This window comes from Homo sapiens, chromosome 1 (genome assembly GCF_000001405.40).
Source record: "Homo sapiens chromosome 1, GRCh38.p14 Primary Assembly".
Lineage (NCBI taxonomy): Eukaryota > Metazoa > Chordata > Mammalia > Primates > Hominidae > Homo > Homo sapiens.
Genome location: NC_000001.11, coordinates 174234501 through 174262474, shown reverse-complemented (window position 1 = coordinate 174262474; position 27974 = coordinate 174234501). Strand labels below are relative to the sequence as shown.

The 27974-nt window shown below is 37.8% G+C and overlaps 1 protein-coding gene across 12 annotated transcripts in view, besides 1 other annotated feature; it reads right to left on the bottom strand.

Moving 5' to 3' along the window:
• Positions 1-27974, bottom strand: part of RABGAP1L (RAB GTPase activating protein 1 like) — an 835789-nt gene that overhangs the window by 732834 nt on the left and 74981 nt on the right. For 11 of the 12 annotated variants that reach the window (NR_158982.1, XM_011510223.3, XM_047436028.1 and 8 more), the window contains 3 exons: positions 20818-20992; positions 11843-12000; positions 9885-9995 (listed from right to left, as the gene is read on the bottom strand). Coding sequence is in view for 10 of the 12 variants with exons in the window: in XM_011510223.3 (XP_011508525.1) it covers positions 9885-9995; positions 11843-12000; positions 20818-20992 (444 nt within the window). In the remaining 2 variants the exon portion in view is untranslated. Of the gene's footprint in view, positions 1-9884; positions 9996-11842; positions 12001-16132; positions 18178-19295; positions 19494-20817; positions 20993-27974 lie in introns of those variants that run through there. The other variant, NR_158981.1, reaches the window with a different exon arrangement.
• Positions 23456-24085: an enhancer, noted in NCBI's record as "NANOG-H3K27ac-H3K4me1 hESC enhancer chr1:174207528-174208157 (GRCh37/hg19 assembly coordinates)". NCBI's record gives its function as "activates a minimal SCP1, AML or CMV promoter by ChIP-STARR-seq in naive H9 embryonic stem cells {active_cell/tissue: H9 hESC(naive)}" and the evidence as "EXISTENCE:reporter gene assay evidence [ECO:0000049][PMID:30033119]".

Sequence of the window (27974 nt, the reverse complement as noted above, 5' to 3'; positions counted from 1 at the left end):
AATTACTTCAAACTGGAATTTTTTTTAATGAGCTCCAAAACATCTAGAATCAATCAACTTATGAGAACACATTACAGACAACAATATATGTTTTCATTGCTCATATTTTAAAAGTATTTCTTAAAATACAATGCTAAAAACGTAATAGTACTACATCCACATTTAATACTTAAACCATGATGCCGCCTCTCCCCACTGGGTGCCAACAGAAGCCAGCAATGAAAAGATGCTGAAAATTCTGTCCTGATTACAAGTTTCAGTTCAAAGGCTGAGAGTCAGATAGAAGCTTCCAGTTATCCACTCCCCAAATTATTCACCTGAAAATGCCAATAGCTTTCTATCAATTGTCACATGAAATCATTAACAGAGAATAATGAAAGTACTTTTGTATAAGTAAGTAATACCTGTTTTCCTATGGAAAAAGAGAGTTATCCTTCTACTGCCTTAAAAGAAAACACAAAAAGGACAAGTGAGTAAGCTCACAGGGTAGCTTTTAAAATGTTATGCAGAATATGGGTCATCCCACTAATCTATTCCCATTTTCAGGAAAGGGAGGAATGATATCCTCTAAGAGAAATTATTATAACATCTAAAATTCTTTATTTTGCTGTAAAAGTTCATAAACGTACTAATTCACATAAGAGAATAAAACATCCAAATCAGACTGACATCTAGGCAACTTCAAGATAGTAACTTGAGTTTTTACCTAAATAAAACTGTAACAACTTGCTAAGGCAAAAGTAAAAATAAGTACTAAGTAAATCCAGCAAAAGACCCTCAGAATGGTCTAACATCAAGTTAGAGCAGTCAAAAAATAATAAACAATTCAAATTCTACTGTCCATCAAATTTAGTGATGTCAACTCACACTAAAAAACTGTTTCATGAGAAGAAGAGAGTCCCTGGGTGATTTTTTCAGTACTCCTTGTCTAGGATATCTTTTCCTCAAGAAAATAACACAAGGAAAGGTACTATCAATCACCCATGCTACACAGTATGGTTCTTATCACTTCAGTTTCTCATTATATAGTTTGTGCTGCAAGCCGGCAAGCACAAATTGAAAACTGAAGCAAAATTGCTACCAAAAGAGGCACATCACTGAACTCTCCAAATGATCAAACTACATGATCTGATATGATCACTGTCATTTAGAAGTGATGTTTTTCTAATGTATATATAATGATTGTATCCCCCCAAATCAATGTGAGATAGAAGTGGCTCATGGAAATCCTTATTTTCCAACAGTGTTGGCCCATGTTACTCACTGCAAATTGAGTTGTGTGCTTATAACAACTCTAATCATTATATTCTGCTTGCTGTATCACTACTTCATTCTGGTTAGCACAAGTATTAATATGAGGGCAGACCCCTGAGAAGAGTGATAGGACAGACATAAAACCTGGTGCCAAAAATCGCTTCCTGATTACCCTTCCCCAAGGCCTGAAACTACCATTATTGGAACCTCTTCATGTTAAGGAATAATAAAGAGGCCCATTTTCTAAATGTATATGGTATTATTTGTCTTGAATCATTTTATCATGAAATAAGAAGTAATACTTGGCAAAAAAAAAAATCAACTAGACAGAGCACTAATGGCAAAGACTGAAAAAATTTCCCCTTCTCTCACCTTTGGAATATTGAGCATAGCAAACTATTCAAAGCATCCAAGTAGGTGCTAAGTAATAGTGCTAGTAATAGTGCATTTAGGTAACAGTGCTAGTAATAGTGTATTTTAAACACTATCAAGGCTTTAAAAATACATATCAATGTGTTAGTATGCAAGAAATCTTTTGCAATATTTCTGTATGTGGTGATACCAAAACCCATAATAATGGCAGCTAGTCAGAGAGAGAAATGATCACCATTTCTGCTTTGGGAACACCAGAAGAGCCTGACCTCATGTACACACACTTTAACATCTCAGCTGGAGACCCTCAATAAGTAAGCTTTGCCCTACCACTCCTCACACATTTCATATACAATGATCTTGCTTTCTCCTCTTAGTTGTTAATGTCAGCTTTCTCTTCTACAAATTGGCTTTTCTCCCAAGGCACTGAGGGTTTGAAATTTCTGAGCAATCACTTGAATGCCCTAACATCTAAGTTCGCACTTTTAAATTCTGCTGAAAAGATACCAAAGAATACCAATTCATTTATCTTCAAACTGGCTTAATTTTAAACCTAGTATATAATCAAGAATTAATTGGGTTTAGCCTTTAAGAGTACACAGTCAGAAATCAGATGACCCTGGTTTAAATCCTGGCTCTACCAGTTTCTGGCCAAGTAACCAAAGTTACTTAACCTGATTAAACCTCTGTTTCATCATCTATAAAATGGAGTAATAGGCCAGGCGTGGTGGCTTACACCTGTAATCCCAGCACTTTGGGAGGCTGAGGCGGGCAGATCACGAGGTCAGGAGTTCAAGACCAGCCTGACCAATATGGTGAAACCCCATCTTTACTAAACATACAAAAATTAGCCGGGTGTAGTGGCGCATGCCTATAGTCCCAGCTACTCAGGAGGCTGAGGCAGAAGAATTGCTTGAACCCGGGAGGCAGAGGTTGCAGTGAGCCAAGATCACACCACTGCACTCCAGCCTGGGTGACAGAGTGAGACTCTGTCTCAAAAAAAAAAAAAAATGCAGTAATAATAACAGTACCTTCCTCATATGTTAAGAAAAGTTGTTCAATGGCCACCAAATAGTAAGTGTTCATTAAATGTTGGCCATTATTATTGCTCTTTTATATCCAGTTATTAAATAAAGCTTAATATGTGATATCCAACATGGGTAATCAAGAAAAGGAAAAGAATATTAAAAGTTTTCATGACTTGAGAACAGTTTTCATACATTCTTTAAAATACATAGGATTTTATTGGTGCAATGTGCAGTTATTAATTCCATATTACAACAAATTTAGCCAATGCTCTAACTTTATAAACTTTTATATACTTTTTATTGATTTAGTCAAGTATTTAAAAAGAAGCAGTAGAGAGTAAGAATATGTGTTCTAGTACTAGATGTACTTAGTTAAAAAGTAATTTTATAGCCTTGGTCAAGTTATGTAACTTTTGTACCTCAGTTTCCTCAACTGAAAAATGAAGATAATAGTACCTATACCTCAGAAATACCACCTAGAACAGTGCCTGGCACTGAGAAAGTGCTAAGTAAGGAGTAAGTAGCTAAGTATAAAGCTCTGTATTCCAAGCACTATAGTAGATGCTGGGGATTCTGGGATAAACAACATAGTGCTTGTTATCAAAAGGGTCAAGACAGACAACTGCAGTATAATTTGCAAAATATCTAGATATAAACAACCCTTAAACCCTTGGATGCACACAGAAATGGCTTCTTTCATAATATATTTTTCAAAAAAAAAAACAGAATATTGGCCAGGCATGGTGGCTCACACTTGTAATCCCAGCACTTTGGGAGGCTGAGGCAAGAAGATCACTTGAAGCCAGGAGTTTGGGACCAGCCCAGACAACTAAGCGAGACCCCGTCTCTATGAAAGATAAATAAGACAACATAAAATTAGCCCAGAGTAGTGGTGGACACCTGTAGTCCCAGCTACTTGGGAGGCTGAGGCAGGAGGATAGCCTGACCCCAGGAGTTCAAGGCTGCAGTGAGCTATGATCACATCACTGCACTCCAGTCTGGGCAACACAGCGAGGTCCTGTCACCAAAAACAAACAAAAAAAAACCCAGAATGTTGATAATTTTACATAATTTAAATAATGATTTTAAAAATTTTTTAATGATAAATTTTATTTTCTCGTTCAGAAGATAAAAATTATGTAATTTGAAGGATTTTCTTTCACACCAATGCTTTTATATTACAAATTAACTTTGTCAGCAGCAGTTATTAAAGATTTGGGTCAGGCACAGTGGCTCACGCCTATAATCCCAGCACTTTGGGAAGCCAAGCACTTTAGGAAGCCAAGTCAAGATCACTTGAACTCAGGAGTTCAAGACCAGCCTGGGCAGCATAGGGAGACCCCCATCTCTCCAAAAAAAAGATGTTTAATTAGCTAAGAATGATGGCATGTGCCTGTAGTCTCAGCTCCTCAGGAGGCTGAGATGGGAGGATCGCTTGAGCCTAGGCAATGAAAGATGTAGTAAGCCATGATCACACCACTGCACTCCAGGCTGGGTGACAGAGTGAGACCCAGTCTAACAAAAAAGATTCAGAGGTGTTAAGAATTTTCTTGGTAAGGCTGCCACCTGCTGGACTACCTTAAATTCCACTGTTTACAGTCTGATTTAAACATATTAAATACCACATTTAATCCAATGAAATGCAAATGTTTCTTTTACCAATATAGAAAAATCCAAGAATTTACTAAATCTTCTGTATCACAGGTAATTTGGTCTGTTATGCTGAACAAAGTATTGTTTAGGGAAGAGTCATTCACCTGAAGAAATCTTAGTCAATTAACATTTGGATGTTTACAGAGATTATCTGACAGAATCAGTGGAAAAGGAAGCAATGAAATTTAACATGGATTCAGTAATTACTGTTGGATATATGAGTCCAAGGTTGCAAGTGTTAGATATTAGCATCAGCAAAATAGTTGTTAAAATAAAAACAATGTAATTTAGCCATTCCACAAGTATACATATCTCAAAACATGTACACAATAATACAACTCTTCTGTGTCAATTAACAAAGAAATAAAACCAATATAGCATTTATGTATTCAAAGTAACTTTAAAAACAATTGTCCTAATGTGTACAAATGTGTACTCGTGTTTTTGGTAAAATATCCAATGTTAGTAGCATATACTGATTCAAAAGGCATTTTCTCTCAACTCAGGCAGAAGTTGACATAATGTGCTCTGGAAAAAATGCCTTAAAATTATTCAAAAAGTAGTTTTAAGGATGATGAAGATATCAATATTAAAGATTATGAGAGTCTGATAAAATTGTTGTATGAATATAAGGGTGGGCAAAAAGTAACATTTCTAAGTTATTGTTTTGTGTAATATATTTAAATGTGTGTGCAAATGTTCTACCCAGTTAGCAAAGAACATATATATAATTAGGCATTCAACTATTTCACCTATATTTGTCTAGGTTTCTATATTCAAGTTGATCAAACATGGAACTTACTGAGAAAAGGAAGGATTGCATTCCTTTACATTTAGGCACAGTTCAGGCATAATATACCACTTAATCATAAAAGTCCAAGATTTTAAAATAACGCTTATTCAAAGTTAAATTAACTCAATACCTAGTACTTCTTTGTCTGTGTTGCTACAGACTTTTTAAATTGAAAGATGCTTTGTTATGCTAAAAAGGAAGTGCTCAAAAAAATGATGCAGGCATGTCATAAAGATAGGGTTCGAAGGGGCTCCAACTGGTTGATTCTAGGGCAATTTGAACACCAAAATAATCAGGTACTTCAGTCAATTATATAGTACTGGGGGGAGGAGGTGGGGTTAAATTTAGGAATCTATATCAATAACAAGTAGTTAAATGGAAGAAAAGGGAAAGCTCTGGTTTACATCAGAATGCCAAGGACTGAATACAAAATGTAGAGAGAAGGCAAGAGTTGAGAAATTAATCATTTTGCAATCATCATAGTACAGACTAGATCCAACAAGAATCATACAAGAATGTTAAATTAAGGAGGATATTTTGATGAGGAGCAGGATATATTTTCGTGGTTGGTTGTTTTGTTTTGTTTTGTTTTGTTGAGACGGAGTCTCCCTCTGTCACAAGGCTGGAGTGCAATGGCGTGATCTTGGCTCACTGCGACCACCACTTCCCGGGTTCAAGGGATTCTCCTGCCTCAGCCTCCCAAGTAGCTGGGACCACTGGCACCCGCCACCACGCCCAGCTAATTTTTATATTTTTAGTAGAGACGGGGTTTCACCATGTTGGTCAGGATGGTCTCGATCTCTTGACCTCGTGATCTGCCCGCCTCGGCCTCCCAATCTGCTGGGATTACAGGCGTGAGCCACCGCGCCCAGCATATTTTCATGGTCTTAATGTGTTTCCTCACAGACTGCTTACTGGTTGCAAGGAAGAAAAAAAGTAATCATAGTGGGAAGAAATCAGACATCTTAACTATGTAATCAGAATTAACATCATCATCATCAAGGGACAGATGGCTATCTCTGTGATAGCCATCTGCCTCCAGATGTGATACTCTGTGAAGGACATATAAACTATGCAGCAATATATAATCTGAATTTAGTCACAAATATTAAACAAAGCCAAAAATGGGCAATGTTATATTAAAAAGAGGAAAAATGGATGTATTCTCCAAAAACGTCCAAGTCTTAAGAGACAGAGGAAGGCTGTGGAAATGTTCCAGGTTAAAGAAAGCTAAAGACATATGGTAACTAAATGCAATATCTAATCCTGGAATGAATTCTGAACTGGAGTGGGGGAAAGGATATTATTAGGTTAACTGGCAAAATAGGAAGGCAAATGGCAGGTTAGATTAAAAGTTGTGTATGAATGCTAAATTCACGTATGTTGATAAGTATACTGTGGTGATGTAAGCGATATCCCTATTCTTGGAAAACATACACTAAAGCACTTGGAGGAAAGGGCCACGATGTATTTAACTCACTCTTAAAAGTGTTCAGGAAAACAACTGTGTGTGTATAGCGAGTAGCAGGGAGAAGAGAAAGAGAGTGCAAGCTGGGCACAGTGGCTTATGCCTGTAATCCCAGCACTTTGGGAGGCTGAGGCAGGCAGATCATTTGAGGTCAGGAGTTCAAGGCCAGCCTGACCAACATGGTGAAACCCCATCACTACTAAAAATATACAAAATTAGCCAGGCGTTGTAGGGCACACCTGTAATCTCAGCTACACAGAAGGCTGAGGCAGGAGAATAGCTGGAACCTAGGAGGTGGAGGTTGCAGTGAGCCAAGATCAGGCCATGGCACTCCAGCCTGGCTGACAGAGCGAGACTTTGTCTCAAAAAAAGAAAGAGAATGCAAAGCAAATTAGGTAAAATGTCATCAATATCTGAGATTTTGGTAACACTGGTAACACTGAGATATTGGTAACAATCTTGGTAAAGAGTATACAGGTCTTCTCTCTACTAGTTGTATTGTTTTTAACTCTTCTGTAAGTTTGAAATTACTTCCAAATAAAAAGTTTAAAACACTGCTATATATAATGCTTACCCCTAAAAACTAAAAGGTTCCTGTATGCAAAATATAATCATATTCTTTTGGAACTGTAATATTCAACATCAAAAATACGATATCTTCAGCTCTTTTTCATCAATTTTAAGAAAGCCATCAATTTTAAGACTCACCATTATTTTTTGTATCTCATGAAAAAAAGGTGACAACTATAATTATAAGATGCCTCTCAAAAGAAGACATTTATGCGGCCAACAAACATATGAAAAAAAGCTCATCATCACTGGTCATCAGAGAAATGCAAATCAAAACTACAATGAGATACCATCTCACACCAGTTAGAATGGCAATCATTAAAAAGTCAAGAAACAACAGATGCTGGAGAGAATGTGGAGAAATAGGAACACTTTTACACTGCTGGCAGGAGTGCAAATTAGTTCAACCATTGTGGAAGACAGTGTGGTGATTCCTCAAAGATCTGGAACCAGAAATACCATTTGACCCAGCAATCCCATTACTGCGTATATACCTGAAGGATTATAAATCATTCTACTATAAAGACCCATGTACACGTATGTTTACTGCAGCACTATTCACAATAGCAAAGACTTGGAACCAACCCAAATGTCCATCAATGACAGACTGGATAAAGAAAATGTGGCACATATACACCACGGAATACTATGCAGCCATAAAAAAGAATGAGTTCATGTCCTTTGCAGGGACATAGATGAAGCTGGAAACCATCATTCTCAGCAAACTAACACAGGAACAAAAAACCAAACACTGCATGTTCTCACTCATAAGTGGGAGCTGAACGATGAGAACACATGGACACAAGGAGGGTAACATCATACACCGGGGCCTGTCAGGGTTCGGGGGCAAGGGAAGGGAGAGCATTAGGACAAATAGGTAATGCATGTGTGGCTTAAAACCTAGATGATGGGCTGATGGGTACAGTAAACCACCATGGCACAGGTATACCTACGTAACAAACCTGCATGTTCTGCACATGTATCCCAGAACTTAAAGTATTTAAAAAATGCCATCAATTATAAGACAAACTACAATTTCAGAGATGTTCAATATGAAAACACATGCATCTTAAAATTTATAAAAGATGGTTTTTACATATGGCCAAACTTTGCAAGCAATTAAAAACACATGCATGCATCACTGTACCAAGATGCTGAATAAAACTTTTCCTGTTGCCTGGCAGGATTCAAAGATGGGAACAAAGTGGAGCTAGATAGCCTACCTTCTAAAAAAAAAAACAGCAGATAACTGGGGGCCAGATACCTTCTCCTATATTTAAGAGGAACAGAAGTGGCCATGATGCCATCAGCCAGCGCCTCAATTGCCTCCCACCCTCATCCCAGTCTAGAGACTGGAGGGAAGACAGAGGGAATCTATTTATTATTGGAATTTTATTTCCAATAGCACAGATTCCCTAGAATAAGACATAGTATACAGCAGTCTTGATGAAGAGGCTTTTATTTCTCTTGAGCATCACCAACTTCCCTTGCTCCTTGAAGCCAAATAGGCATCTGTATTTCCAGTTTTTGCCACTAAAAATAATACTTCAAAGTTAAATTAATAAACATCCTTTGTTGTTTGACTGAAGTACTGATTGACTTCAGTACTGACTGATAATTGACTGAAGTACCTAATTATTTTGTTGTTCAGATTGCCCAAGAAGTAACCAGTTGAAGCCCCTTCAAACCCTATCTTTAGCATATGCCCCCATCATTTTTTTGAGCACTTCCTTTTTGGCATAACAAAGCAACTTTCAATTTAACAAATATGTAGCAACAAAGACAAAGAAGTACTAGGTATTGAATTAACTTTGAATTAAGTTTATTAATAAACATCCTTACAAATGTCCTTAAATAGTGATACTTTTATTTTGAATAGCACAGATTCCCTAGAATAAGACTTATGTGTCCAATTATAGGTATTAAAATCTTTATATATGTTGCCTAATTGGTTTTCAAAAAGGACATACGTACATTTTACATTTCCATTAACAGTATGAGAATTCCCTTTGCCCCATACCCCCACCATCACTACATATTTTTGCAATCTGATATCTTAAGGTTACTATAATTCGCATTTCCCTGTCTTTTTGTGAATCAGGACCTCTTTACATATGTTTCTTAGCCATCCAGTAGCTTTCCTCTGATCTGTTTATACTCTGACCTGTTTTTCTCCTCTGCTTTCTGCCAATTGTTAAGAAATTTATGTATATTGTAGACATTACCTTTTCCTGTCATCTACATTACGAATATTTTTTCCAGAACTATCATTTCTTGTTGACTTTATTTATATCTTTTGTCCTACCATTCCTTTGTTTTCTGAATAGTTTTCCTGTGAATTGACACACAAGTATATGTGTATGTATTTATATATTTTAAAAATATGTATCTATCTTTTAAAGTTTCTGAAATTCCAGCAGCTAAGTGGAAGAGTAATCGAAAGTGATTGAAAAGTTAAAAGTATTTATGCTGTATGTAAATAAGGAACAAGAAAAAAAGATGTGAACAAACCCAGTTGTAGCAGTTATGACTGAAAAACTAAAACCATTTCATGTTTACTTACCCCAGCAATTGATTTTCAATGAAACCAGTTACATCTAAGTTAAAGTAGAGAAAGTATTATTAATTATCCTCATTTTTAATTGGAGAAAATGAAGTATAGTGAAAAGCCACACTGAGCAATGCATCTGAGACAGTAACAATGTCAATACAAGTTTTTGGTAGCATTTAGGAGCAAGCTGCTTACCTTTCAATAGCTAATTCTTTGTTAGAAAGTTGCTGCACTGTAATCACAACCTTCTTCTCTATTCCTTGCTTTAATTTGAAATAAAATTTATCTCTATCCTTAGGCACAGGGCTGAAATATTCAAAAGGAATAGGAATTACCAATAATCTAATAAAATGATAAAATAACCTATTCCAAGGTTAGAACAAAACAACAAAGTATTTAAGCAACAACACCCTTATTCTTAAGATATACTAAACTCTCACCTTGCCACAGGCAGCAAACTATTAATTTTATTTGACTATAAACTTTATAGTCAGCAACACAGTCATTATTAATTTCTAAATTGAGTTTACAAGAGCCTTATATTTTGTCTGCTAACCAAAGTTAAAAGCAAGATCTTAAAAAAGACAACATGGCCAAGCACGGTGGCTTACGCCTGTAATCCCAGCACTTTGGGAGGCCAAGGCAGGCTGATCACTTGAGATCAAGAGTTTGAGGCCAGCCTGGCCAACATGGTAAAACCCCATCTCTACTAAAAATACAAAAATTAGCTGAGTGGTGGTGCATGCTTGTAGTCCCAGCTACTGGGGAGGCTGAGGCAGGAGAATTGGTTGAACCCAGGAGGCAGAGGTTGCAGTGAGCCAAGATTGCACTGCTGCAATCTTGCCTGGGCGACAGAGCAAGACTCTATCTCCAAAAAAAAAAAAAAAATGACAACATGATAAATTTCAGTTTTAAAACAAATTTAGGAATAATGTTTACTTGAAGTTCTTAAGACTGTCACATGTCTGGTTTAGCTGGTTGGGTGGTCATAAGTGCCTGTAAAACAGTGAAATCCAAAGCAAAGGAAGTGAGAAGAGCATACTTTTAGACACATAGAATTTGAGATGACTGTGATGTATCCATGAATATATAAACAAAAGATGGACAAAGAGATACATAACAGGGACAAGTTAATCAAATTCTAGCCTAGGCTAGACTATTCTTACAAATTAATTCATTAAAATAATCAATGTATAAAATATGGCTTGTCTTATCTAAAAAGAAAAAATATCTTGAGCAACTTTTACATGACCTCAATTTCAATGTCTGTAAAACTACAGATAAAATACCTAGCTAGCAACTACTCTTAGAATTAAAGGCACAGCTAAGGAACAAAGTTGAGCATTAAATAATATAACTGTTTCCTATTAACTGTCTATATCTGAACTGGAGGAAAACATTCTAAATGTACAAAAAAAAAAGAAATGGTTAATTAAGTGGTGGTCAAACCATATATTATCAGTTACTGTTAAAAACAATTTTGATTAGAACACTTAACATAAAGAAAAAAAAAAGGTATATATATACAATTGTGTAAAAATTCCCCTAGAAATAAACAAAGGGAAGAGACCAAATGTTAAAAGTGACTGTGGCTGACAAGATCGTAGTTTTTATTCTACTTTTATTATTTTACTAAATTTTCTACAGTATCAGTATTTTTTAAATCATTAAGAAAATAAGTATCTGACCAAGCGCGGTGGCTCACACTTATAATCCCAGCACTTTGGGAGGCCAAGGAAGGCAGATCACCTGAGGTCAGGAGTTCGAGACAAGCCTGGCCAACGGGGTGAAACCCCGTCTCTCCTAAAAATACAAAAATGAGCCAGGCATGGTGGCAGGCGCCTGTAATCCCAGCTACTTAGGAGGCCGAGGCAGGAGAATCACTGGAACCCAGGAGGCAGAGATGGCAGTGAGTCGAGATCGTGCCATTGCACATGCACACTCCAGCCTGGGTGACAAGAGCGAAACTCCATCTCAAAAAAAAAAGGAAAGAAATATCTGACAAGCACAAGAATAAAAAATATTAATTCACCAGCCAAATATTTATCAGTTTGAGGCTTTATGCCAACACTGTATAGTTTCTTGAAACTTTATATGCGCCTATATTATACTCCAGATACAATGCGAATTTTTAATCTTTCCAAATGCCTCACCTAAAGTTTCCTTTTCCATCGTCTTCTTTTACCTCCAAGGAGACACTGAAGGTAAACACATCACTGTCGGGGGTAGGAATAACTGAGTCTTTAACATCAGACACTTGTCTGGAAGAACGTTTGAATGCTGTACAGAAACTGTACAAAATTCTGCTTACCTAAAAGAATAAAAAAGGAAATACCATTAGGCAAAGGTTTTAATTGCATTCTGATATCCTTCTCTCCTAACTCTTGAATCTACAATTTTCCATGACAATTTTCTTTGGCAGAATATATATTTTTATATATAGTCTAAGTATTTATCATTGTTTAGATATTACATGACAACATTTTCATCACTTGTGCATTAAAAAAAGAGGGAGTAAACAACTGTAGATGGTAAATGTAGACCATCCAAACTCTAAATTATTACAACCTAAAAACTATCATCAATGTGAAGTCCAAGAAGGGAAATATTGAAGAAATATCGCTTAAGAAGTAAATTAACAGAATTTTTTACTTTGAAATTAATAATGGGGTACATTTCACTTCATGGAAACTTAAGTTCAAATCTGAGGAGGGTTTTCAAATATATACAGATAAAGTTCAACACTAAGCACCACCAGCATACATACTGGAGACCAGAAGAGAACTATGATTTAGGAGCTGCAACTAGGATCTGAGCATCTTAAGAATGAAGAAGGGCAAGAGGGCCGGGCACAGTGGCTCCATGCCTGTAATCCCAGCACTTTGGGAGGCCAAGGCAGGCAGATCACAAGGTCAGGAGTTCAAGACCAGACTGGCCAGCATGGTGAAACCCCATCTCTACTAAAAATACAAAAAATTAGCAGGGCATGGTGGTGCACACCTGTAATCCTAGCTACTCGGGAGGCTGAAGCAGGAGAATTGCTTGAACCTGGCAGGTGGAGGTTGCAGTGAGCCATTGCACCACCGCACTCCAGCCTGGGTGACAGAGCAAGACTCTGTCTCCAAAAAAAAAAAAGAAAGAAAGAAAGAAAGAAGGAATTCCTTTTACTTTAAAAAAAAAAAAAGCTATCTTTCAAATATTTGCTTCTCACAACTCTGACATTTAAACATGGTGATAAAGATATTGAACTAATTTAAGTTCACAAAATAAACTGTATTTATTTATAGATATTTCTAGGCTTCAAAATATACAAGAAATTGAATGTATCCTAAGATAATTTACTAAAATGATATTGGTATCTGAATCTTCCCAACACACTCTCACAAACAAGGTTTTGGCCAAGTCTCCAAGTTCTCTCTTCACTTCCCTCAGCCTCAGGGGCTAGATACAGAACCATAGAATAAGGCAAATACTGGCTTTAGCAATACAGTCAGTAACATAAAGAGCTACCAGTATTTTTACTCAATGTTGTTGTGCTATAAGTGTTGGGTTCCCAGAATGAATGCTGAAATGGTCTTATTCTTATCTATTCTATTGGTATTAGGCCACTCTAGTGACTACTTTTATACATACATATATACATATATATGTATATACATATGTGTGTGTATTTGTGTGTATAGCTCATATTCTTTCCTTAAAGTGAAGAAGTACTCTAAATCCAACACTTCTCCAGAAGTTATTCTACTTCTTGGTTCCAAAAGAAGCATCAGATCATCACAAACTTGTGAGCTTGAAGCACCAAAGATTCTCCAAATCTCTCAGCCCACGCATAGGTTGACAAAGAAAACAAGGTGAAATGTGAAGGGTTAAAAAAATATTTTCAATGTGTCACATTGGGAAGTACAGATAAGAAGAATGCTGTGAACATTAATAAATCCCTCACTTTAGATAAAGTGAATTCAAAGTACTTCTTGAACTGTATTAGTCTAGGAATACAATATTTGTAACTTGCTTGAAACAGGAATACTCCCTATAACAGAAGAGTCTGTTAAAGTATGAGGTCTTCTGTTTTCCTTTGTTTTATTCACATATTCTGCCACTTTTTCTTGTACAAGCACACACAGTCTAACACATTCAAAAACTTCCGAATGCCACATTTATACCCATTAACCAATGATTACCCTAAAGTGCCTTCTCAATGCCAAATTAACAGTTTTAACTTTTAACAACTATACAGAAATCCTACCTGCCAGTCTAAAGTTCAACTTCTGCAGTAGCACCATATTTATATCATAATGTTCCCAAAATTTCTTCATTATTTTACCATGCTATCCCCATTTTAATCTTATATGAGTAAAAATTAAAAAAGCAGCAAAAGATTGATGCTAATAAGAACTGTAGGCCTCAAAACTTATATAATTAAGACAATAAACTCATTCATTCAACAAATATTATTTGAGCACCTTCTGCATACCAAGTATTAGTCTAGGTGCCAGAAATACAAGAGAGAACATACAGCCTGTACTCCAGCAAATATTAAGTTGAATGTGCTTGGGGATGGATGAGAGGGAATCATTAGATAAGCTAAAAACAGAAAGGTTCAGCCTCAGCTGGATAGTTACTGGATTTAGCCCAATAATTCAAGTGTTTATAGAGGAAAACAGAACCAAAGAATATGCTAGAAATATGTCATTGAAGACTATGCCTACAAGGTCAAGTGTAAATAGAGACTTTAAACTACTTTTAGTTCTCTGGGTATTCTCCACTTCCTACTCCTAAATGAAATATAAAGTCTACTGTCTGATTTTTATACATTTAACTTCAGTGTATATTTAGTTTTGTTTTAAGGAGCAGGGAGTTTAATAGGCAAGAAACAAGGGCAAAAAAAAAGCGGCTCCCCATACAGAGACAGAGGGAGAGGGGCTCCAAAGCCAAGAGACAGAACACCACCTGCCATGCATACTAACCAGGTATATATGCAGAGGCTGGAGGACGTGATGTCTGATTTGCATAGGGCTCATGGGATGGGTTTGACTAGGCATGCAATTCACGTAGCAGGTGGAAAAAGCTGGCCCTCCCACCCTAGCTTTTCATATGCAAATGCAGGGCACCATGATGCTCTCCACACGCAAGGATATGTGTGGGCAGCCATGTTGCCAGGAACATGTGGGGCAAGGGCAAGAAGGCCCTGGGAATTGCCATGTTGGGTGGACCCGGTTTCTAATGGCTACCATTTGTATATTATAGGTTGCTGGCCTGGCTCTAAGAGCTGGGGCTTTACAAGAAACTTTTCCAGAGATGCTTTAAAAAATGAAAATTTCCCAAGGATCCCTTTTCATCTCTATATGCCTAAAATAATTTCTTAATAACTCCTACAACATTCCCCACTGTGGAGATGCCACACTAACTGCTGTTAGGGGGTTTTGGGCCATGACTCTTTCTGGCTACTCCCGGACTTAAGCGTATTTTTAAGAAAGCACTGTATGTGAAAACAGGAGAACACCTGTATGTAATTTTGCATACATTGGTAGTTAAACCCCAGCCATATTTATTCTTTTTTCCCCTTTCTCATCTCTTCTTTTTCACATTCTTTATGTCAGATCAGCCAGCTTGTCACATCAGAAGGCCATATCAAAAAAAGTCAAAGAACTTGGCAAATTCTAAAGCATCTGGCAAGGCTTCAAAAAATTCTTTATAGAAAGGTTAAGCGTATGGAGCTGAGCCAGAGTGATACAGAATGATGGAGAAAAAAAAATAAGATTCCATCTATCTCTCTTTTGGAGAAAGAACACGACAGTACATTAATTTCATTAACAGCAATCAAATTGCATTTAATACTATGTCTTACAAGCTGCCATTTCTACCAAAAGAGTTAAAATATATTGTGAATTCTAGAGTCTGTGAATAAGCTGAAACAGTAATCCAAGAATTAACAAGATAAACTTCAGAAACAATGACTATCAGTATCTTATAACAAACTGGATAACCAATTACAGTTGTCCTTTGGTACCCATGGGGAATTGTTTCTAGGACCCCCCAAAACTCCCAGATACCAAAATGCATAGATGTTTAAGTCCCTTATATAAAACTGTGTAATATTCCATATAGCCTACACACATCTTTCCATATACTTTAATCTCTAAATTACTTATAATACCTAATAGAATATAAATGCTATGTGAATGGTTTTTATACTGTATCTTTTAGGGACTAATGACAAGGAAAAAAGGCTATAGATATTCAGTACAGATGAAACCATACATTTTTATCAAATATTTTAAAGCCATGGTTAGTTGACTCCATGGATGTAGAATCCACAAATATAGTGGGCTAACTGTACATCAAGAAAGGAAATTAAAAACACATACCATGGCAAACACTTCAATACATGTCACACTTATTAAAACACATACACACAAATAGTCTTGAATGGGCATTTCTTTGCAGAAGGAAAAGGTTTATTGATAAATAATACAATCTTTCTCCAGAAAACAGTATCTATAGAAAATACTAAACACAAAACTGTATATCTGTTTGAGTTTGTTGCTGTTGTTTTTGAAGAGGCAGGGAGGAGAGCACATGTAGATATCTGGAATGGAGATACACCAAAATCTTAACTGCGGCGGAATTTTAAGCACCTTTTATTTTCTTTTTTATTTCAATATTTTCCAAATTCTCAAATATGTATTACATCTTAAAAGTCCAAACACTGTTATTAAGTAACAAAGGTATTTATTTAAAATAAATAACATAGCTAGTTTCTCCAAGATGAAGTCTTTTCATTAATACTGGTGAAAGATAACTCACTCTTTTGGAAACACCATATATCAAGAAAATGTTCACCCAAGGCCAGGCATGGTGGCTCACACCTGTAATCCCAGCACTTTGGGAGGCTGAGGCAGGTGGATCATTTGAGGTCAAGAGTTCAAGACCAGCCTGGCCAACATGGTGAAACCCCGTCTCTATTAAAAACGCAAAAATTAGCCAGGCGTGGTGGCATGTGCCTGTAATCCCAGCTACTCAGGAGGCTGAGGCAGAAGAATCGTTTGAACCCAGGAGGTGGAGATCATAGTGAGCCGAGATCACGCCACTGCACTCCAGCCTGGGAGACAGTGAGACTCTGCCTCAAAAAAAAAAATAAAAAGTTCACCCAAGAAATAAATGTGAAAAATCATTCTATGAAAGGCACCTTGAAAGGTATGTATTAAAATTTTTAAAACAGCTAGCTCAAATACATTATTCATGGGAAGGAGCTAAAATAAGAGGCACACTACCAGGAAACTTTTTTAAAATCATAAAAATCAATTGATTTAAGGAAAACACTAACAAGATAACTTCGAATTATCTTCCAAAATGAGGCATTTAGCTAACATAACAATTAAATAAATACTTGTTTAGAAATGATATTCTCCACTGGGTGTGGTGGCTCACGCCTGTAATCCCAGCACTTTGGGAAGCCCAGGCAGGTGGATCACCTGAGGTCAGGAGTTTGAGAGCAGCCTGACCAACATGGTGCAACCCTGTCTCTACTAAAAATACAAAATTATCCAGGTGTGGTGATGCATGCTTGTAATCCCAACTACTTGGGAAGCTGAGGCTGGAGAATCACTTGAACCCAAGAGGTGTAGGTTGCAGTAAGCCGAGATCACGCCATTGCACTCCAGCCTTGACAACAAGAGTGAAACTCCATCTCAAAGAAAAAGAAATTTTCCCATGCAAGGAACACGTTTTCTTTTATACAGTGTCATATCTGCAACCCCAAGAAAAAACAATGCAATAAGAATAAGTATCTTCCCAATGATGCCCTTGATATTTATCAAGAAGTATCTCTGAATGCCTTTAACACCAGATGACAAAAAACATGCTTCCATAATGTAACAGAGTTTCTAATACTGAATAGTATCCTAAAACACACAAATATCATCAAAATCTGCTTTGCATAGAATGGTTACACTGGCTAGTAGAAATAAAATCTTAGAAAGACTCAATTAACACTTTAAAAGTATCTTTTGAAAGTTTTATATAATATATCCAAAAAGATGTGACAAGAACAGGTGCCTCCTTGTATTTTTTTCACTACACTTTCTGATACCTTGCTTGGTCTGCAATTCTTCAGCAGAAGCCTAGCATATCATTCTCCTTATACAAAGATCATTGACCTCAAGATACTTCTGGTTGGATTGTCCAACTCTTTTGCCATAGATTATTGAAATCTACTAAAGCACAGTCCTGCAGAAGCACATCCAAGTGTTGCAAGTCAAATGTGTCCTAACCCTTCTGTGGGACCTCCCAATCCTTGTGTCACAGGTGTTCAAGAGGGCCATCACCCTCACTGGGATTCCCTTCTACCATTGTTGATGCCTGCAGTTTGAGGGATTTTATAGTGAAATAAGCATCACAGTGACAGTAGTGGCAGCCATGCTGCTACTCCTGCTTCAGAAATCTTCCTTTAACGACAAACCTCTTCAGCTCTCATCCACGAACTCTGCGAAAATAAAAATAAAAAATAAATTTGTGGCATTGCTGCACAGTACATACTTAAGCAGTAAGAATGTTTGTCAGCTGGTTCCTGAACTATCTGCCAACTGTTTGTGCCCATCAAGAGGCACTCAAATACTAACGACTAAAGGTGTTTATCAAAGAACAGAAAACTTCTGGGAACCAGACAACCGGATGACCAGTAAATGTAACTAGAAGACTTCAGATTAATTACAACCATAATTATTTTGTAGGGCAGAGAGGAAGATGTTGGACATCTTCTGCAAAAGGGCCAGGTAAAATACAAAACGTAAATGGAATGCAAGCTATGTTACCAATAAATCCCTTTATAAAACATAACTAAAATACAAAAATCCACATTTGTGTTTTATAATATGTAAGCAACAGGAAAGTTGTTACTGAAAACTGTATGGCTCTTCAAAGTCAAAGACTTCAACTTAAAACCCAGCTCTATCACCCAGTCTCTTAGCCACAGGATAAACAAAGGGTAACCAAACAATTTATCATCCAAACCACAACACTTTTGAGAATAAAAATGAGGGTATTAGTAAAAACCTGGACAATAAGCATAAAATAGAACTGCTCCAGGCAAAGAGAAACATAAAGTCACTTGTCTAATAAGTCCAACCTGGTCACGGGCTGTTATGAGTATCAAATGAACGCTTAGCACAGTGCCTGGCATAAGCTCTCTATTTATATTGGGTTATTCCTCATTTAGAACTGATGTGTCATTCATTACCTGGAGGAGGATTTTTAAAATTTTTTTTAAAAAGAAATAATGTCTCATAATAAGGTTTAATGACCACTGTCATGTATTTCTCCTTCAAACAATATATTTTACCACTAATGCCCCCATAATGTAATACTTTCTAAAATGCACTCAAAAAATTAAATAATAGATGGAGATAACTTTCTTACAACGTGCAATGGAAAAAATATGCTCTATAGAAACAGCATTTATTTAATACTATATCCAAAATGGTCTGGCCAAGAACTTCCCAGGGTTTCTTCCACTACTTACCTACCATGATAAGCTCTCAAAAATAAACACTTCCCCTACTCTAAACCCAAGTGAATGCTACAATCCAAAAGACAGTTTCATACCATTAGTTATGGAAACTTCTTGCAGCAATTCAGTATCCTTCTGCAGCAGCATTTCTCTCTCTCCAAGCAGCAGATTTTCCAGGTCTTCAAAGCTCATTTCCTTGCTGTTGAGCTCCAGTGATTCGGAAATCACACAGGTGGGTTAAATGATGGCTGCCAACATGAAATGCCAGGATTCTACCATCTGCTTCCCCACCTCTGTAGTGGAGTTCGTAAGGATCAGAAATAGCCCCCCTCATTCACAGAAACATACATATTCCTTCAGCATATTTATATTCACTGTCTACTATATGCTAGGCACACTAGCAGCATACTTATACTCATTCACTCTCCTGTCTATCAGACCATTTTGAACAAGAAGTCAGTATACACATAGATATGTAAGTGCTGGGAAAAAAATAGATAAAGCCTTATCTAAAAAACAAAACACAAAACTTCAACTTCTTTCAGAAGGCATGGGTTCTGATAGAGAATTTCTACAGTTACAATCTAAATTATATGTGTCTGTGCATGTTCAGTTTAGTGTAAAGCAAACTGATCACCAGGGCACAAGAACTGACATAGCCATCATGCTTTGTATCAAACTCACAGAAATCCATATTTCCATTAATTCCCATTTTGTCGCCAGAAATAAACTCAAAACTCCTGTTAATAGAATGATTTATTCATGTTTCATGATAGAGGCTAGAATAACTATTGCTTTCAGCATTTTCTGCTGATAATTTATTTTGTCACAAGCAAACATACCTGAGACATTGCCATCCACACCCATTTATGAATGCCTTTGAAATGGTTTTAAGTACTAAGTGTCTAACAGTGCAACATTTTAAAATTGGGGATAATTCAATAGATGTAGAAAAGATTTCCCTATGTAATTAACTGCATTTAATCTAAACCATTTCTCCTAACAATAATCTACCAATTAGTAATTTCTATAAAAAAACTTACTAGCATTTTCAAAGGACTACAAGTTGTTATACCTGCTTTAAGTGAGCATTTGTAATTTTATTTAAGCCAGTTCTCTGGAGCAAAATATAGCCTCTGAGCAAGAAAGCACAAAACAAATAATCATCAATGAAAACCACAGAGATTGATAAAATAATCTTAATGCAATATCTAAATGAAAGCAATATGCAACTATCAAGCCCATCAGAGAAACAGGTATCGTTATAGGCACTTTTTAAAATCACATGGACCAATCTACTAGGGCAAAATAATAAGAGAGCTGCAAAAATAGTCTCCCTTCTGAGCATAAGCAATTTACTACCATGGTAAGGTGGAAAGGCAACTCATCCAGTTGTATTTTTCTACGACAACTGCTAAGCTGTGAGAGTGCCCTACCTATGCAGATATACCAGACTTGGCTTTCCACATTCAGTTCTATGTCATTACAAATATTAATTTTGTCTTTAGAAACATACTCCAAATTTATGTAACATATTTATACAACAGTGAAATTAGAGCTCAAAAATATTACCCTAATTCATCTCTATAGCAAATTGCTATACTATATTATACTTACTGCCTCTTTAATTTCACAGGAGAAAACATGTATCTGAAATTCTTCCGAACCATGGGAACTCTCTGTAAATGCAAAGCAATTGCTCTCTGTTGTTCCGTCATGTCCACGTGCACAGAATAACACCTTATAGATTGGAAAAGATGCTATCTCCACATTGCTGGATTGGTCTATAATTCTGTAGAACAGTAATGAAAAGTTAGATAAAATATTAATTCTCGAAGAACAAAGACATATTTCCAGTTAGGTTTTTTTTTTTAAAAAAAAAGAACAAATAGTTTTACTATGACAATATATGATATATAAAATAACTATCTTTTTTGTTTTGTTTTGTTTTGTTTGAAACAGAGTTTTGCTCTTTCCCCCAGGCTGGAGTGAAGTGGCCCCATCTTGGCTCATTGCAACCTCCACCTCCCGAGTTCAAGCGATTCTCCTGCTTCAGCCTCCCAAGTACCTGGGATAACAGGTGCCTGCCATCACACCCGGCTAATTTTTGTATTTCTTGTAGAGACAGGGTTTTGCCATGTTAGCCAGGCTAGCCTTGAACTCCTGACCACAGGTGACCCCCCGCGTTGGCCTCCCAAAGTGCTAGGATTACAGGCGTGAGCCCCCGCATCTGGCCAAACATAACTATCTTAAAAATCACAAAAATAAACTGGAACTAACAATGCAAGAGAGAACAACTTGTCTTCATATTCACAACACACACACACACACACACAAACACACACATACACATAAATTCTTTATTATCTTCTCACAATTTCTTCATTCTTGTGTTTCCTATGAACCAACTCATTTACTCCAAAGCTAAGTATACGTGCCTGGTAACATCTCTATCACCCATCCCTAAATCTAGTCTTTTTCAATTATGGCAAAAGGAATGCCAATCTAGAATAGTATAGACTATTCCTGGAGAGCCCACTTCTATACAGAGCAGCACCTATTAGTTTATCTAAGCCCTAATTCATTGTTCAACTGAGGCCCTTTCTACCACAGAAAAGGTCAGGTGGTTCCAAAGATGAATTCAACAACGGAATACAAAAGCTGAAAGGAGTCTGGGATTTGGAAGCAAATAATTATCTGACTTTCCCTACACAAATCCTAAGTCCTGGTTGGGCGCAGTGGCTCACGCCTGTAATCCCAACACTTTAGGAGGTCGAGATGGGTGGATCACTTGAGGTCAGGAGTTCAAGACCAGTCTGACCAACACGGTGAAATCCCATCTCTTCTGATAAATACAAAAATCAGCCAGGCATGGCGGTGGGAACCGGTATTCCCAGCTATTCAGGAGGCCGAGGTATGAGAATCGCTTGAACCCAGGAGGCAGATGTTTCAGTGCACCAAGATCGTGCCACTGCACTCCAGCCTGGGGAACAGAGTGAAACTGTGTCTCAAAAACAAAAACAAACACAAAAACAAAAACAAAACAAAACAAAACAAATCCTAAGTCCTGGACTGATCTACACATTCAAGACCCCTTCAAGATCTCAAATTTAGAAACTGAGGGTAAGGGGACAACCCCAGGAATAAAGAGGCAAGTCAAAACACTAAATCTCTGTCAAGGTGTGTTTGGCAAATTGAAGCTAAACAGATAGCATAGAAGACACTTTGAAAACAATTTTTCTTTAAAAAGACATTTTGACATTTTTAGACGATAACATATAAACAATATACATGCAAACCCTTTCCTGAAAAATTCAAAGCATTTTTACCAAAATTTTCTAAATTTATATTGCCAATATTTTGGTACTTGGAATTTAGCAAAAGTTTTCCCACATTCTAAACTTTAGAGAATGAGGCAAATCAGAAAGGGTTTTTAAAAGATTAAAGCAACTTTCAGAGAATATTCCAGGCTCCAGACAAATTCAACCTCATTTCCTTGACCTGGTCTGCTTATTTGTTCATTCAGCAAATATTTGCTAAAATCTTACAATGAATCACTTACTTCCCTAGCCACTGAAGCTACAGCAGGGAAAAATATAAAGAAACTATTCTCACAAGCTTATAATCTAGTGAGGAAGATATCCAATAAACCAATAAGCAAATAAATATAATATCAATTCAAAGAAAAGTGCTACGAAGGAAAAAAAAATGGCCCAGTATGAGGAAAGAGAGTTACATGATATAACCAAGGAAGGCTTCTTATGATAAAATGTTTACTAAGATGAAACAAAAAGCATTGGAAAATCAGGGAAAGATTTACTTAGGGAGTATAAAGATAATATGCCAAGGTCCTGGGGCGGGAAATATGACTGGTAAGTCCTATAAGAATGAATACAGAGGCTAGTATAACTGGAATGTAGTGAATGAAGACAGAGAAAGGGAGAGGAAAGTGGTACTAACAATGCAAGTAAACAAATTATCGAAGAGGAGCCAAGATGGCCGAATAGGAACAGCTCCGGTCTACAGCTCCCAGCGTGAGCGACGCAGAAGACGGGTGATTTCTGCATTTCCATCTGAGGTACCGGGTTCATCTCACTAGGGAGTGCCAGACAGTGGGCGCAGGCCAGTTGGTGCGCGCACGGTGCGCGAGCCGAAGCAGGGCGAGGCATTGCCTCACCTGGGAAGCGCAAGGGGGCAGGGAGTTCCCTATCTGAGTCAAAGAAAGGGGTGACGGACACACCTGGAAAATCGGGTCACTCCCACCCGAATATTGCGCTTTTCAGACCGGCTTAAAAAAGGGCGCACCACGAGACTATATCCCACACCTGGCTTGGAGGGTCCTACGCCAACGGAATCTCGCTGATTGCTAGCACAGCAGTCTGAGATCAAACTGCAAGGCGGCAGCAAGGCTGGGGGAGGGGCGCCCGCCATTGCCCAGGCTTGCTTAGGTAAACAAAGCAGCCGGGAAGCTCGAACTGGGTGGAGCCCACCACAGCTCAAGGAGGCCTGCCTGCCTCTGTAGGCTCCACCTCTGAGGGCAGGGCACAGACAAACAAAAAGACAGCAGTAACCTCTGCAGACTTAAATGTCCCTGTCTGACAGCTTTGAAGAGAGCAGTGGTTCTCCCAGCACGCAGCTGGAGATCTGAGAACGGGCAGACTGCCTCCTCAAGTGGGTCCCTGACCCCTGACCCCCGAGCAGCCTAACTGGGAGGCACCCCCCAGCAGAGGCACACTGACACCTCACACTGCAGGGTATTCCAACAGACCTGCAGCTGAGGGTCCTGTCTATTAGAAGGAAAACTAAAAACAGAAAGGACATCCACACCAAAAACCCATCTGTACATCACCATCATCAAAGACCAAAAGTAGATAAAACCACAAAGATGGGGAAAAAACAGAACAGAAAAACTGGAAACTCTAAAACGCAGAGCGTCTCTCCTCCTCCAAAGGAACGCAGTTCCTCACCGGCAACGGAACAAACCTGGATGGAGAATGACTGACGAGCTGAGAGAAGAAGGCTTCAGACGATCAAATTACTCTGAGCTACGGGAGGACATTCAAACCAAAGGCAAAGAAGTTGAAAACTTTGAAAAAAATTTAGAAGAATGTATAACTAGAATAACCAATACAGAGAAGTGCCTAAAGGAGCTGATGGAGCTGAAAACCAAGGCTCGAGAACTACGTGAATAATGCAGAAGCCTCAGGAGCCGATGCGATCAACTGGAAGAAAGGGTATCAGCAATGGAAGATGAAATGAATGAAATGAAGTGAGAAGGGAAGTTTAGAGAAAAAAGAATAAAAAGAAATGAGCAAAGCCTCCAAGAAATATGGGACTACGTGAAAAGACCAAATCTACGTCTGATTGGTGTACCTGAAAGTGATGGGGAGAATGGAACCAAGTTGGAAAACACTCTGCAGGATATTATCCAGGAGAATTTCCCCAATCTAGTAAGGCAGGCCAACGTTCAGATTCAGGAAATACAGAGAACGCCACAAAGATACTCCTCGAGAAGAGCAACTCCAAGACACATAATTGTCAGATTCACCAAAGTTGAAATGAAGGAAAAAATGTTAAGGGCAGCCAGAGAGAAAGGTCGGGTTACCCTCAAAGGGAAGCCCATCAGACTAACAGCGGATCTCTCGGCAGAAACCCTACAAGCCAGAAGAGAGTGGGGGCCAATATTCAACATTCTTAAAGAAAAGAATTTTCAACCCAGAATTTCATATCCAGCCAAACTAAGCTTCATAAGTGAAGGAGAAATAAAATACTTTACAGACAAGCAAATGCTGACAGATTTTGTCACCACCAGGCCTGCCCTAAAAGAGCTCCTGAAGGAAGCGCTAAACATGGAAAGGAACAACCGGTACCAGCCGCTGCAAAATCATGCCAAAATGTAAAGACCATCGAGACTAGGAAGAAACTGCATCAACTAATGAGCAAAATCACCAGCTAACATCATAATGACAGGATCAAATTCACACATAACAATATTAACTTTAAATGTAAATGGACTAAATGCTCCAATTAAAAGACACAGACTGGCAAATTGGATAAAGAGTCAAGACCCATCAGTGTGCTGTATTCAGGAAACCCATCTCACGTGCAGAGACACACATAGGCTCAAAAATAAAAGGATGGAGGAAGATCTACCAAGCAAATGGAAAACAAAAAAAGACAGGGGTTGCAATCCTAGTCTCTGATAAAACAGACTTTAAACCAACAAAGATCAAAAGAGACAAAGAAGGCCATTACATAATGGTAAAGGGATCAATTCAACAAGAAGAGCTAACTATCCTAAATATATATGCACCCAATACAGGAGCACCCAGATTCATAAAGCAAGTCCTGAGTGACCTACAAAGAGACTTAGACTCCCACACATTAATAATGGGAGACTTTAACACCCCACTGTCAACATTAGACAGATCAACGAGACAGAAAGTCAACAAGGATACCCAGGAATTGAACTCAGCTCTGCACCAAGCAGACCTAATAGACATCTACAGAACTCTCCACCCCAAATCAACAGAATATACATTTTTTTCAGCACCACACCACACCTATTCCAAAATTGACCACATAGTTGGAAGTAAAGCTCTCCTCAGCAAATGTAAAAGAACAGAAATTATAACAAACTGTCTCTCAGACCACAGTGCAATCAAACTAGAACTCAGGATTAAGAAACTCACTCAAAATCACTCAACTACATGGAAACTGAACAACCTGCTCCTGAATGACTACTGGGTACATAACGAAATGAAGGCAGAAATAAAGATGTTCTTTGAAACCAACGAGAACAAAGACACAACATACCAGAATCTCTGGGACACATTCAAAGCACTGTGTAGAGGGAAATTTATAGCACTAAATGCCCACAAGAGAAAGCAGGAAAGATCCAAAATTGACACCCTAACATCACAATTAAAAGAACTAGAAAAGCAAGAGCAAACACATTCAAAAGCTAGCAGAAGGCAAGAAATAACTAAAATCAGAGCAGAACTGAAGGAAATAGAGACACAAAAAACCCTTCAAAAAATCAATGAATCCAGGAGCTGGTTTTTTGAAAGGATCAACAAAATTGATAGACCGCTAGCAAGACTAATAAAGAAAAAAAGAGAGAAGAATCAAATAGACACAATAAAAAATGATAAAGGGGATATCACCACCGATCCCACAGAAATACAAACTACCATCAGAGAATACTACAAACACCTCTACTCAAATAAACTAGAAAATCTAGAAGAAATGGATACATTCCTCGACACATACACTCTCCCAAGACTAAACCAGGAAGAAGTTGAATCTCTGAATAGACCAATAACAGGAGCTGAAATTGTGGCAATAATCAATAGTTTACCAACCAAAAAGAGTCCAGGACCAGATGGATTCACAGCCAAATTCTACCAGAGGTACAAGGAGGAACTGGTACCATTCCTTCTGAAACTATTCCAATCAATAGAAAAAGAGGGAATCCTCCCTAACTCATTTTATGAGGCCAGCATCATTCTGATACCAAAGCTGGGCAGAGACACAACCAAAAAAGAGAATTTTAGACCAATATCCTTGATGAACATTGATGCAAAAATCCTCAATAAAATACTGGCAAACCGAATCCAGCAGCACATCAAAAAGCTTATCCACCATGATCAAGTGGGCTTCATCCCTGGGATGCAAGGCTGGTTCAATATACACAAATCAATAAATGTAATCCAGCATATAAACAGAGCCAAAGACAAAAACCACATGATTATCTCAATAGATGCAGAAAAAGCCTTTGACAAAATTCAACAACCCTTCATGCTAAAAACTCTCAATAAATTAGGTATTGATGGGACGTATTTCAAAATAATAAGAGCTATCTATGACAAACCCACAGCCAATATCATACTGAATGGGCAAAAACTGGAAGCATTCCCTTTGAAAACTGGCACAAGACAGGGGTGCCCTCTCTCACCACTCCTATTCAACATAGTGTTGGAAGTTCTGGCCAGGGCAATCAGGCAGGAGAAGGAAATAAAGGGTATTCAATTAGGAAAAGAGGAAGTCAAATTGTCCCTGTTTGCAGACAACATGATTGTATATCTAGAAAACCCCATTGTCTCAGCCCAAAATCTCCTTAAGCTGATAAGCAACTTCAGCAAAGTCTCAGGATACAAAATCAATGTACAAAAATCACAAGCATTCTTATACACCAACAACAAACAAACAGAGAGCCAAATCATGAGTGAACTCCCATTCACAATTGCTTCAAAGAGAATAAAATACCTAGGAATCCAACTTACAAGGGATGTGAAGGACCTCCTCAAGGAGAACTACAAACCACTGCTCAAGGAAATAAAAGAGGATACAAACAAATGGAAGAACATTCCATGCTCATGGGTAGGAAGAATCAATATCATGAAAATGGCCATACTGCCCAAGGTAATTTACAGATTCAATGCCATCCCCATCAAGCTACCAATGACTTTCTTCACAGAATTGGAAAAAACCACTTTAAAGTTCATATGGAACCAAAAAAGAGCCCGCATTGCCAAGTCAATCCTAAGCCAAAAGAGCAAAGCTGGAGGCATCACACTACCTGACTTCAAACTATACTACAAGGCTACAGTAACCAAAACAGCATGGCACTGGTACCAAAACAGAGATATAGATCAATGGAACAGAAAAGAGCCCTCAGAAATAATGCCGCATACCTACAACTATCTGATCTTTGACAAACCTGAGAAAAAGAAGCAATGGGGAAAGGATTCCCTATTTAATAAATGGTGCTG